This window comes from Homo sapiens, chromosome 19 (genome assembly GCF_000001405.40).
Source record: "Homo sapiens chromosome 19, GRCh38.p14 Primary Assembly".
Lineage (NCBI taxonomy): Eukaryota > Metazoa > Chordata > Mammalia > Primates > Hominidae > Homo > Homo sapiens.
This window is the reverse complement of record NC_000019.10, coordinates 54,069,394-54,082,147: the sequence shown is the minus strand read 5'-3', so window position 1 is coordinate 54,082,147 and position 12,754 is coordinate 54,069,394. Positions and strand designations below refer to the sequence as shown.

General features: G+C 49.5%; 1 protein-coding gene across 2 annotated transcripts; it reads left to right on the top strand.

Annotated features, from left to right (window-relative positions):
* Positions 1-782: 782 nt before the first annotated feature.
* TARM1 (T cell-interacting, activating receptor on myeloid cells 1) lies at positions 783-12,253 on the top strand. Of its 2 annotated transcripts, none has more exons than NM_001135686.3 (5): positions 783-841; positions 6,230-6,265; positions 7,034-7,324; positions 7,932-8,228; positions 11,988-12,253. In NM_001135686.3, exons 1-5 carry the CDS (start codon positions 808-810, stop codon positions 12,143-12,145), a joined length of 816 nt encoding a protein of 271 aa, NP_001129158.2. In that variant the 5' UTR covers positions 783-807; the 3' UTR covers positions 12,146-12,253. The 2 variants fall into 2 exon arrangements, with proteins under 2 accessions (NP_001129158.2, NP_001317579.1); NM_001330650.1 differs by lacking the exon at positions 783-841 and adding an exon at positions 5,603-5,930.
* The last annotated feature ends 501 nt before the right edge of the window (positions 12,254-12,754 follow it).

Below are 12,754 nucleotides of genomic sequence, written 5' to 3'. Positions count from 1 at the left end.
AAAATTAACTGGGCGTGTTGAAGGGCTCCTGTAATCCCAGCTACTTGGGAGGCTGAGGCAGGAGAACCGCTTGAACCTGGGGGTTGGAGGTTGCAATGAGATGAGATTTTGCCACTTCACTCCAGCCTGGGCGAAAGAGTGGAACTCTGTCTCAAAAGAAAAAAAAAATGGTGATGAAGGCCTGGCACAGTGGCTCATGCCTGTAATCCCAGCAGTTTGGGAGGCCGAGGCAGGTGGATCACTTGAGGCGAGGAGTTCAAGACTAGCCCAGCTAACTTGTGAAACCTCATCTTAACTAAAAATACAAACATTAGCCGGGCATGGTGGCATGCGCCTATAATCCCAGCTACTTGGGAGGCTGAGGCCGGAGAATTGCTTGAACCCAGGAGGCTGAAGTTGCAATGACCTGAGATCGTGCCACTGGACTCCAGCCCAGGTAACAGAACCAGACACCATCTCAAAAAAAAAAAAAAGAGTGAAGTGCTTTCATCTCTTCAATACGAACCCTTCAGGGCCAAGTCTGAAGCATTTTCGGGGTTACCTGTTTGATGCCTGAAATCTGCCTGAGACAGAGGAGCATTTCCTGTGAGTCAAGTGCTCGAACACTGGTGTGTGTAAGGAGCATGTTGCAATCAGCAACATCAACATGTTTCCTGAATGTGGATATGGGAGGGGAAACTGAAAGGCTAGGAAAGGCTGTTACTGCCCACACTCTGGGGTGGGAGAGAGGCAGCGACGACTCCAGCTCTTCTCCCATCTGTGGACTGCAGAACCCAAGACGGACTCTGGGAGGGCTAAGGAGCCATCATGATCCCTAAGCTGCTTTCCCTCCTCTGTTTCAGTAAGTCTCACAGGGCTATCCACTGGGACTGCAGAAAATCATGGAACTGGTGGGATAGTTGGGCTGGGGATGGAAATAATAACATCAACTTTGGCTTACTGAGCACACGGGAGGAGTGAGACGTCCTGCTGAGTGCACTGCAGACATTCCCTGGAAACGAGTGCTCTGCAAACTTCAACTCCTGTAGTTTCAACTTCGTGAGTTTTGCTGAATGCCTCCACCACCTGGCTTCATTGGCTTACCCCTTTTCTCAGGATCAACTCTGACTTTTTGTGTGTAAGTAAAAGTATTCAGAATAGAAACCTTATTTTATTTTATTTTATTTTATTTTTTTGAGACAGGGTTTTGCTCTTGTTGCCCAGGCTGTAGTGCAATGGCGTGATCTCGGCTCACCACAACCTCTGCCTCCCGGGTTCAAGCGATTCTCCTGCTTCAGCCTCCTGAGTAACTGGATTACAGGGGTGCGCCACCATGCCTGGTTAATTTTTGTATTTTTAGTAGAGACGGTGTTTCACCATGTTGGCCAGGCTGGTCTCGAACTCCCGACCTCAGGTGATCTGCCCACCTCAGTCTCTCAAAGTGCTGGGATTACAGATGTGAGCCACTGTGCCTGGCCCAGAAACCTTAATACCATAAATAAAAATTTAGTGTCAAATAGATAACTATAAAGTAAATTGAGGCCGCTGTGTAACCATCACCACTATCTACACTAAAACCTCTTTCTTTCTTCCTTCCTTCCTTCCTTTCTTTCTTTTTCTCCTTCCCTTCCTTCCTTCCTTCCTTCCTTCCTTCCTTCCTTCCTTCCTTCCTCCCTTCCTTCCTCTCTCTCTCTTTCTTTTTTTTTTTTTTGAGATGGAGTCTCGCTCTGTCGCCCAGGCTGGAGTGCAGTGGTGCGATCTCTGCTCACTGCAAGCTCCGCCTCCCGGGTTCACGCCATTCTCCTGCCTCAGCCTCCCGAGTAGCTGGGACTACAGGCGCCCGCCACCATGCCCGGCTTTTTTCGTAGGTTTCACTGTGTTAGCCAGGATGGTCTCCATCTCCTGACTTCTTGATCTGCCCGCCTCGGCCTCCCAAAGTGCTGGGATTACAGGCGTGAGCCCCCGCTTGCTTGCCTGCTTGCTTGCTTGCTTGCTTGCTTGCTTGCTTGCTTGCTTGCTTGCTTGCTTTCTTCCTTCCTTCCTTCCTTCCTTCCTTCCTTCCTTCCTTCCTTCCTTTCTTTCTCTTTCTCCTTCATTCCTTCCTTCCTCTCTCTCTTTCCCTTCCTTCCTTCCTTCCTTCCTTCCTTCCCTCCTTTTCCTTTTTTTGAGACAAAGTCTCACTCTGTACCCAGGCTGGAGTGCAGTGGTATGACCACAGCTCACTGCAGCCTCCACCTCCTGGGCTCAAGCAATTCTCCTGCCTCAGCCTCCTGGGTAGCTGAGATTACAGGTGCCCACCACACACCCGGCTGATTTTTTGTACTTTTTAGTAGAGACGGGGTTTCATCATGTTGGCCAGGCTGGTCTTGAGCTCCCTCAGGTGATCACCTCAGGTGATCTGCCCGCCTCAGCCTCAGCCTCCCAAAGTGCTGGGATTACAGGCGTGAGCCACAGTGCCCCGTGTAATTTTTAAATTTTTTGTAGAGACGGGATCTCACTATGTTACTCAGGCTGGTCTCAAACTCCTGGCCTCAAGCAGCCCTTCTGCCTTGGCCTCCCAAAGTGCTGGGATTACAGGCGTGAGCCACTGTGGTGGCTCTGCCACCTTTTTCTCCCATCCTGGCCCTCAGCAGAATACCCACCTCCATTAGGAAGGCCAACCTGCCCGACTCAGCATTAGATTCAAATGCTGATCTTTCTAAAAACACCCTCACAGACACGCCCAGAAATAATGTTTAACCAGATATCCCAGCATCCTGTGGCCTGGTCTAGCTGATAAATCAAATTAACAATCACAATTCCCAATATGAACGCTACACCCTCTAACCAATAACTCTGTATTTGCCGCGGTCCTCCCAGCCCCTGGTAACCTCCATTCTAATTTCTTTTTTTTTTTTTTTTTTCGGAGATGGAGTCTTGCTTCGTCACCCAGGCTGGAGTACAGTGGCCTAATCTCAGCTCACTGCAACCTCCGCCTCCTGGGTTCAAGCGATTCTCCTGCCTCTCCCTCCCGAGTAGCTGGGATCACTGGCGCTCACCACCATGCCTGGCTAAGTTTTTTTTTTTTTTTTTTTTTAGTAGAGACAAGGTTTCACCATGTTGACCAGGCTGGTCTCGATCTCCTGACTTTGTGATCTGCCTGTCTCGGCCTCCCAAAGTGCTGGGATTACAGGCGTGAGCCACCGTGTCCAGCCCATTCTAATTTTTATCTCTATGAATTTGCTTATTCTAGGATGTATGAGTGGAATCATAACACTTGTTCTTTTTTGCCTGACTTAGTTTACTCAGCATAATATCCTCGAGCTACATCTATATTGTAGGATATGTCAGATTTCCTTTCCTTTTTATGGCTAAAATCCCACTGTAGGCCGAGCACAGTGTCTCACACCTGTAATCCCAGCACTTTGAGAGTCTGAGGCAGGCAGATCGCTTGAGCCCAGGAGTTCGAGACTAGCCTGGGCAACATGGTGAAACCCTGTCTCTACAAAAAATACAAAAATGAGGCTGGGCATGGTGGCTCACGCCTGTAATCCCAGCACTTTTTTTGCAATGACCTGACGTAAGGAGTTCGAGAACAGCCTGGCCAATAGGGTGAAACCCCATTTCTACTAAAAATATAAAAATTAGCCATGCGTGGTGGCGGGCGCCTGTAATCCCAGCTACTTGGGAGGCTGAGGCAAGAGAATCGCTTGAACCCAGGAGTCAGAGGTTGCAGTGAGCCGAGATCATGCCATTGCACTCCAGTCTGGGCAACAAGAGCGAAACTCCATCTCAAAATAAATAAATAAATATTAAAAACAACAACAACAACAAAAATGAGCTGGGCATGGTGGTGTGCAGCTGTAGTCCCAGCTACTCGGGAGGCAGAGGTGGGAGGATCACCTGAGCCCAGGGAGTTGATGCTGGAATGAACTAGGATCACATCATTGCACTCCAGCCTGGGCAGCAGAGCGAGACCCTGCCTCAAAAAAAAAAAAAAAAAAAAAAAAAGAAAGAAAGAAAAGAAAAAGAAAAAAGCATTTTGGAGGCTAAGATGGGCGGATCACCTGAGGTGGGGAGTTCAAGACCAGCCTGACCAACATGGTGAAACCCTGTCTCTACTAAAAAATACAAAATTAGCTGGGCATGGTGGTGCATGCCTGTAATCCCAGCTACTTGGGAGGCTGAGGCAGGAGAATCACTTGAACCCACAAGGCGGAGGTTGCAGTGAGCTGTAATCCCAGCTACTTGGGAGGCTGAGGCAGGAGAATCACTTGAACCTGCAAGGCGGAGGTTGCAGTGAGCTGTAATCCCAGCTACTTGGGAGGCTGAGGCAGGAGAATCACTTGAACCCGCGAGGCGGAGGTTGCAGTGAGCCGAGATCGCGCCATTGCACTCCAGCCTGGGCAACAAGAATGAAACTATGTCTCAAAAAAAAAAAAAAAAAAAACGAAGAAAAAGAAGAAAAATCCCATTGAATATATAGAGCACACTGTGTTTATCCATTCTTCCATGGATGGACACTTACGTTGTTTGAACATTTTGGGTGTTCACAATTTCCTTTTGCAAAACTTGAAGTGTCAGTTTATGGATTGGCTCATGGATGTAATAGTAGCACAAACGCCTGGTAACTTCTCCTTTTTCCTGCTGAGACCTAAAACTGTTCACACAGGGGAAAAAGAGGAAATCTCTCAGAGACACAGGCCTAACTAACTTTCTTTGAGTTAGATCAATCTCATTATTATGATAATGTTCATAAACAGGCTTGATATTATGTTTTTTCTTTTCTTTCTCTTTTTTTTTTCTTTCCTGAAACTGAGTCTCGCGCTGTGGCCAGGCTGGAGTGCAGTGGTGCGATCTCAGCTCATTGCAAACTCTGCCTCCTGGGTTCAAGCGATTCTCTGCCTCAGCCTCCTGAGTAGCTGGGATCACAGGCGCCCATCACCACACCTGGCTAATTTTTGTATTTTTAGTAGAGACGGGGTTTCACCATGTTGGCCAGGCTGGTCTTCAACTCCTGACCTCGTGATCCACCTGCCTCGGCCTCCCAAAGTGCTGGGATTACAGGCGGGAGCCACCGCGCCCGGCATGGTCAAGAGTTCTTAACCAGCCCAGCCCTGTCTCTATCAAAAAAAATTAAAAAGGAGGAAGAGCAAATGCAGCCATGTGTGAAACAGGGAGGAACGTATGCTTTCCCCTTTCTGGAATGACCATTTGGATGTTTTGAGGCTTGTTACAGGACACCAAACAATAAATTTTGTCCTGTTTGGAGTCATGAAGGGATTAAAAGAGATCATGAGCCTGGGCAACATAGGGAGACTCTGTCTCTGGGAAAGACTAAAAAATTAGCCGGGTGTGGTGGTGCACACCTGTGATCCCAGCTACTCGGGAGGCTGAGGTGGGAGGATCACTTGAGCCTGGGAGGCTACAGTGAGCCATGATGGAGCCACTGCACTCCAACCTGGGCAACAGAGAGAGACCCTGTCTCAAAACACAATAATAAAATGAAAAATTAAAAAATAAAAAGAAGCTGGGCACAAAGCTCATGCCTGTAATCCCGGCACTTTGGGAGGCCGAGGTGGGTGGATCACCTGAGGTCAGGAGTTCGAGACCAGCCTGGCCAATATGGTGAAACCCTGTCTCTACTAATAATACAAAACTCAGCCGGGCGTCCTGGCGCATGCCTGTGATCCCAGCTATTTGGGAGGCTGAGGCAGGAGAATCACTTGAACCCGGGAGGCGGAGGTTGCAGTGAGCCGAGATTGCGTCACTCTACTCCAGCCTGGGCGACAGAGCGCAACTCTGTCTCTGGAATGAATGAAAGAAAGAAAGAATGAATGAAAGAAAGAAAGAAAGAAAGAAAAAGAAAGAAAGAGCGAGACTCTGTCTCTGGAATGAATGAAAGAAAGAATGAATGAAAGAAAGAAAAAAGAAAGAAAGAAAGGAAAGAAAAAGAAAGAAAGAAAGAAATGGTAAGAATGAGTGCTGTTTTCAAACAGAAGATGAGAATGGAAGGATTTGTGGGAAAGGCCTGGAGCAGGGGGAGGTGACAGCCACACAGGATGGTCAAGGAGAATCTCTGGGAAAGGATGGAGGAGCTGGAAGTCGAGCAGAAGCCACAGTCCAGTGTGGGGAGAATGAGAACTCCTGAGCGTATGACCTCTAAGGGTCTGTTCTCAGCAGGAGACTCTGGGACGATCTCCAGGGGTCAGGGCAGGGGGTGACGTGGCTCCAGGTAGGGGCTTCTGGCTCACGGAGGATTGTCTTGCAGGACTGTGCGTGGGCCAAGGAGACACAAGGGGAGATGGTGAGTGTTTCTTCAACTACACCCTCCTTGGCCTGTCATCCCAAATCCCCTGCTGTTCTCTTCCCCTTCCCCCTCTTTTTCTCTTTTTTTTTTGACGGAGTCTCACTCTTTCGCCAGGCTGGAGTGCGGTGGTGCAATCTCGGCTTACAGCAACCTCCGCCTCCTGGGCTCAAGTGATTCTCCTGTCTCAGCCTCCCAAGTAGCTGGGACTACGGGTGCTTGCCACCACGCCCAGCTAATTTTTGTATTTTTAGTAGAGACGGAGTTTCACCATGTTGGCCAGGATGGTCTCGATCTCATGACCTCGTGATCTGCCTGCCTTGGCCTCCCAAGGTGCTGGGATTACAGGCGTGAGCCACCGCACCCAGCCCGCTTCCCTTCTTAAAATGGGATTCCTGATTGGGCTCAGGGGTTCACGCCTGTAATCCCAGCACTTTGGGAGGCCAAGGTGGGTGGATCACCTGAGGTCAGGAGTTCGAGACCAGCCTGGCCAACATGGTGAAACCTTGTCTCTACTAAAATACAAAATTAGCTGGGTGTGGTGGTGCGTGCCTGTAATCCCACCTACTTGGGAGGCTGAGGCAGGAGAATTGCTTTAACCCAGGAGACGGAGGTTGCAGTGAACTGAGATTGCACCACTGCACTCTAGCCTGGGCAACAGAGGGAGACTCCATCTCAAAATAATAATAATAATAATAAATTTTAAAAAGGGCTTCCTGAGAGCAGGGGAGGGCATCGGGTCCAGCATCAGGCTCTGCTTCCTTCCAGGGTCACTGCCCAAGCCGTCCCTCAGTGCCTGGCCCAGCTCGGTGGTCCCTGCCAACAGCAATGTGACGCTGCGATGTTGGACTCCTGCCAGAGGTGTGAGCTTTGTTCTCAGGAAGGGAGGAATTATTCTGGAGTCCCCGAAGCCCCTTGATTCTACAGAGGGCGCGGCCGAATTTCACCTCAATAATCTAAAAGTCAGAAATGCTGGAGAGTACACCTGTGAATACTACAGAAAAGCATCCCCCCACATCCTTTCACAGCACAGTGACGTCCTTCTACTGTTGGTGACAGGTACAGACAGGGTGCCTGCCAATGACATACGGGGGACAGGGGATGAGGGAGGAAGTGGAGGAACAGAGGGAGAAAAGGGGTCCCACCTTCAGAGTAGTTGGGGGTGGTGGGAGAGGGAGAGAGACAGGAACGAAATTGCATATGTTGGTTTTATACTTTGTCGCCCAGGCCAGAGTGCAGTGGTGCCATCTCGGCTCACTGCAACTTCCGCCTCCTGGGCTCAAGTGATTCTCCTGCTCCAGCCTCCTGAGCAGCTGGGATTACAGGTGCCTGCCACCATGCCCGGCTAATTTTTGTATTTTTAGTAGAGACAGGGTTTCGCCATGTTGGGCAGGCTGGTCTCGAACTCCTGACCTCAGGTGATCCACCCGCCTTGGCCTCCCAAAGTGCTGGGATTACAGGTGTGAGCCACCATGCCAGGCCTTACACAGGTCTTGTAGGAGGGAGAATCTCTGTCCTGGGGTCGGAGTAGGAAGTGGAGGAAGGTAGAAGAGATCAGGAATCTCTCATTTCCCACACTCCACGAGAGCCTCCGGCCAGGAGAACAGGGGTGAGTGGGGGATTCCAGACTTCTCCCCAGGACCTCAGAACCTGACTTCTCTTACAGGACATTTATCTAAACCTTTCCTCCGAACCTACCAAAGGGGTACAGTGACCGCAGGTGGAAGGGTGACTCTGCAGTGCCAGAAGCGAGACCAATTGTTTGTGCCTATCATGTTCGCTCTACTGAAGGCAGGGACGCCATCACCCATCCAGCTGCAGAGTCCAGCGGGGAAGGAGATAGACTTCTCTCTGGTGGACGTGACAGCCGGCGATGCTGGGAACTACAGCTGCATGTACTACCAGACAAAGTCTCCCTTCTGGGCCTCAGAACCCAGTGATCAGCTTGAGATATTGGTGACAGGTAAGGGCGTGTATGGTTTTGAGGAACTGTGTGTGTTGTTTTTAATCAGAGATTGTTTTGTTCTTCTGTGAATCTCATTTCTTCATTACTTACAATATCATCGCTCTTAACAAAATCTTCCCTTTCTGGCCTGGCGTGGTGGCTCATGCCTGTCATCCCAGCACTTTGGGAGGCCGAGGTGGATGGATCATCTGAGGTCAAGGATTTGAGACCAGCCTGGCCAACATAGTGAAACCCCGTCTCTACTAAAAATAAAAAATTAGCCAGGTATGATGGCATGCACCTGTAGACCCAGCTACTTGGGAGGCTGAGGCAGGAGAATTGCTTGAACATGGGAGGCGGAGGTTGCAGTGAGCCAAGATCTTGCCACTGCACTCCAGCCTGGGCAATAGAGTGAGACTCTGTCTCAAAAACAAAAAACAAAAAACAAAAACAAAAACAACAAAACAACAAAAAAACCTCCCTTTCACAATTTCCACTCCTTTGCCTTTTTTTTTTTTTTTTTTTTTTTTGAAATGGAGTCTCACTCTGTTGCCAGGATGGAGTGCAATGGCGCGATCTTCGCTCACTGCAACCTCCACCTTCCAGGTTCAAGTGATTCTCCTGCCTCAGCCTCCCAGGTAGCTAGGATTACAGGCCTGCACCACCCATCCGGCTAATTTTTCTATTTTTAGTAGCGATGAAGGTTTCACCGTGTTGACCAGGCTGGTCTTGAACTCCTGACCTCAGGTGATCTGCCTGCCTCGGCCTCCCAAAGTGCTGGGATTACAGGTGTGAGCCACCGTGCCCGGCCCTCCTTTGCCTTTTTGTTATACTACATCCTTGGAAAATTTCTAGGCTGTTTTTGAAAATTATGAATCTACCAGCACCAGATTCCTTCTACCAGTCTTTGCATCTCTTAGCGTTTTGGTTTTTTGTTTTGTTTTGTTTCATTTTGTTTTTGAGACAGAGTCTCGCTCTGTTGCCCAGGGTGGAGTGCAGTGGTGCGATCTCAGCTCACTGCAACCTCTGCCTCCCGAGTTTAAGCAATTCTCCTGCCTCAGCCACTTGAGTAGCTGGGATTACATGTGCCCGCCACCACGCCTGGCTAATTTTTGTATTTTTAGTAGAGATGGGGTTCTGACCATGTTGACCAGGCTGGTCTTGAACCCCTGGCCTCAGGTGATCCGCTCACCTCGGCCTCCCAAAGGGCTGGGATTGCAGGTGTGAACCACTGTGCATGGCGTGTTTTGTTTTTTCTTGGTGTTAGTGATTTCACTCTCAATAATTCTTTCTCAGTCATGTGTGGTGGCTCAGGCCTGTAATCCCAGCACTTTGGGAGGCTGAGGCTGGAGAATTGCTTGAGCCCAGGAGTTTGAGACCAGCCTGGGCAACATAGTGAGACCCAGTTTCAAATTTAAAAAAAAAATTATCTCATCCTCAGAACATGGTGTTTGCACAGCCTCCTGCTTCTATGCCGTGGATGCGAAGTCTACCCATGTCTTTTATTGACTGCTAGAATTCTTCTGAAAGTATCTTGTTTCCTGCCTTACTGGGTGCTAGCACTCTGCTTCCTCAGCTCTGTAAATTATTTTTCATCTGTTGTAACTGCTGTAATGAGTTACATTACAGCTCTTGCCGGGTGCCTGGATGAAGCCCATTCATCAAGACAGAGGAATTGCAAAAAAGAGTTTAATACACATTGAGCCAGGTAAGTGGGAGACCAGAGTTTTTTTGTTTGTTTGTTTGTTTGAGACGGAGTCTTGCTCTGTTGCCCAGGCTGGAGTGCAGTGGCGCGATCTCGGCTCAATGAAACCTCTGCCTCCCAGGTTCAAACGATTCTTCTGCCTCAGCCTCCCGAGTAGCTGGGACTATATGTGTGCCACCCTGCCTGGCTAATTTTTGTATTTTTAGTAGAGATGGGGTTTTACCATATTGGCCAGGCTGGTCTCGAACTCCTGACCTCGTGATCTGCCCGCTTGGGCCTCCCAAAGTGCTGGGATTACAGGCATGAGCCACTGCACCTGGCCAATCAGAGTTTTATTATTACTCAAATCAGCCTCCCTGAAAATCTGGAGGCTAGGGTTTTGTTTGTTTGTTTGTTTTCTTTGAGATGGAGTCTCACTCTGTCGCCCAAGCTGGAGTGTAGTGGCACAATCTGAGCTCACTGCAGCCTCCACCCCCCAACCCCAGGCCCAGGTCAAGTAATTCTCCTGCCTCAGCCTCCTGAGTAGCTGGGATTACAGGCACCCGCCACCACACCCGGCTAATTTTTTTGTATTTTTAGTAGACATGGGGTTTCGCCATGTTGCCCAGGCTGCTCTCGAACTCCTGGCCTCAAGCAATCCTCCCACTTTAGCCTCCCACAGTGCTGGGATTACAGGCGTGAGCTACTGTGCCCGGCCTCAACTCAAACTTTCTCAGGTGCACTGCTGCACAGCAGTGTGTGCTGCGAGGATGCTGATCCAGCCACGGAATTCGGGGCTCTGTAGAGCTCCTTCCGTCTCATGTGCTGCCCCAAGACTATTCCTTAACATAAGGATGCGGGAGGAGAAAAGGCAATGTGGGAAGGTGGAAATGGGATAAAGAGCAAATAAACGAAGGAAGAGAGCTAAGGTGGAGTGAATATCAAGGAAGGAAGATAAAGGAACTCCCATTACAACTCATTAGGATTGCATATCTTGGCCGGGCGCGGTGGCTCAGGCCTGTAATCCCAGCACCTTGGGAGGCCGAGGCAGGCGAATCACTTGAGGCCAGGAGTTCGAAACCAGTTTGGCCAACATGGCGAAAACCCATCTCTATTAAAAATACAAAAATTAGCCGGGTGTGGTGGTAGGTGCCTGTAATCCTAGCTATTCGGGAGGCTGAGGCAGGAGAATCGCTTGAACCCAGGAGGTGGAGGTTGCAGTGAACCGAGACTGCGTCGCTGCACTCCAGCCTGAGCAACAGAGTGAGACGTCGTCTCAAAAACAACAACAAAGATTCCATCTTTTGTTTTCAGGGATTAAAACTTTAAAGAGCTCAATTATGGCCAGGCATGGTGGTTTATGCCTATAATCCCAACACTTTGGGAGGCCAAGGCGGGTGGATCACCTGAGGTCAGGAGTTCGAGACCAGCCTGACCAACATGGAGAAACCCCGTCTCTACTAAAAATACAAAATTAGCCGGGTGTGGTGGCACATGCTCATAATCTCAGCTGCTTGGGAGGCTGAGACAGGAGAATCACTTGAACCCGGGAGGCAGAGGTTGTAGTGAGCTGAGATTGTGCCATTACACTCCAGTCTGGGCAACAAGAGCAAAACTTGATCTCAAGAAAAAAAAAAAGTTCAATTAAAACTTTAAAGTACAGTGGACTACTGGCTAGAAAACATTAAGTGGGTGGCCGGGCGCGGTGGCTCACACCTGTAATCCCAGCACTTTGGGAGGCTGAGGTGGGCGGGTCACCTGAGGTCGGGAGTTCAAGACCAGCCTGGCCAACATGGCGAAACCCCGTCTCTACTAAAAATATAAAATTAGCCGGGCATGGTGGCACATGCCTGTAATCCCAGCTACTTGGGAGGCTGAGGCAGGGAGGCTTGAACCTGGGAGGCAGAGGTTGTGGTGAGCTGAGATTACACCACTGCACTCCAGCCTGGTCAACAAGAGTAAAACTCCGTCTCAAAAAAAAAAACCAAAAAACCGAAAACATTAAGTGGGTGATGATAGTCAGATTTGGTGGGGCCATTTGAGAAGGAGGGATACCCTCTGAGGGTCAGTGCTGAGCCCCTTCTCTCTTTCAGTTCCCCCAGGTACCACATCGAGCAACTACTCCCTGGGTAACTTCGTACGACTGGGTCTGGCTGCCGTAATTGTGGTTATCATGGGAGCTTTCCTGGTGGAGGCCTGGTACAGCCGGAATGTGTCTCCAGGTGAATCAGAGGCCTTCAAACCAGAGTGACTCCATCTTGAACCGGGGCTGGGTAAACTGAGGCTGCAACCTGCTGGACTGCATTCCCAGGGGGTTGAGGCTTTCTAAGTCACAGGATGAGACAGGTCACAACATACAGGTCACAAAGACCCAAAGACACAAAGATGCAACAAAGAAGCCAGCCAAAACCTGCCAAATCCAAGATGGCAACAAAAGTGACTTCTGGTCGTCCTCACTGCACATTATTTGCTAATTATAATGCATTTGCATGCTAAAAGACACTCCCACCGCCACCAAGACAGCTTACAGATGCCATGGCAACTTCCAGAAGCTAAACGAGGGAGGGACTCTCAGTTCCAGGGAAATCCCCTCCCCTTTCCTGGAAAACTCATGAACAGTCCACCCCTTGTTTAGCATACGATCAAGAAATAACCACAAAAATAGCCGACTGACAGCCCTCTGGACTGCTCTGCCTATGGAGCAGCCATATTCCTTGACTTTCTTAATAAACTTGCCTTCACTTTACTCTGTGTACTCACCCTGAGTTCTTACTTGTGTGAGATCCGAGAACCCTCTCTTGGGGTCTGGACTGGGACCCCTTTCCAGTAACAGATCCAAGTTAAAACACGGATCCCCTCT

Excerpts from the sequence above, each read along its gene's own strand:
- TARM1 (NM_001330650.1), top strand. The coding sequence starts at position 5,873 with ATGAAAGAAAGAAAAAAGAAAGAAAGAAAGGAAAGAAAAAGAAAGAAA. Across the intron at positions 6,266-7,033 it reads AGGAGACACAAGGGGAGATG|GGTCACTGCCCAAGCCGTCC; the intron begins GTGAGTGTTTCT and ends GCTTCCTTCCAG. Across the intron at positions 7,325-7,931 it reads CCTTCTACTGTTGGTGACAG|GACATTTATCTAAACCTTTC; the intron begins GTACAGACAGGG and ends CTTCTCTTACAG.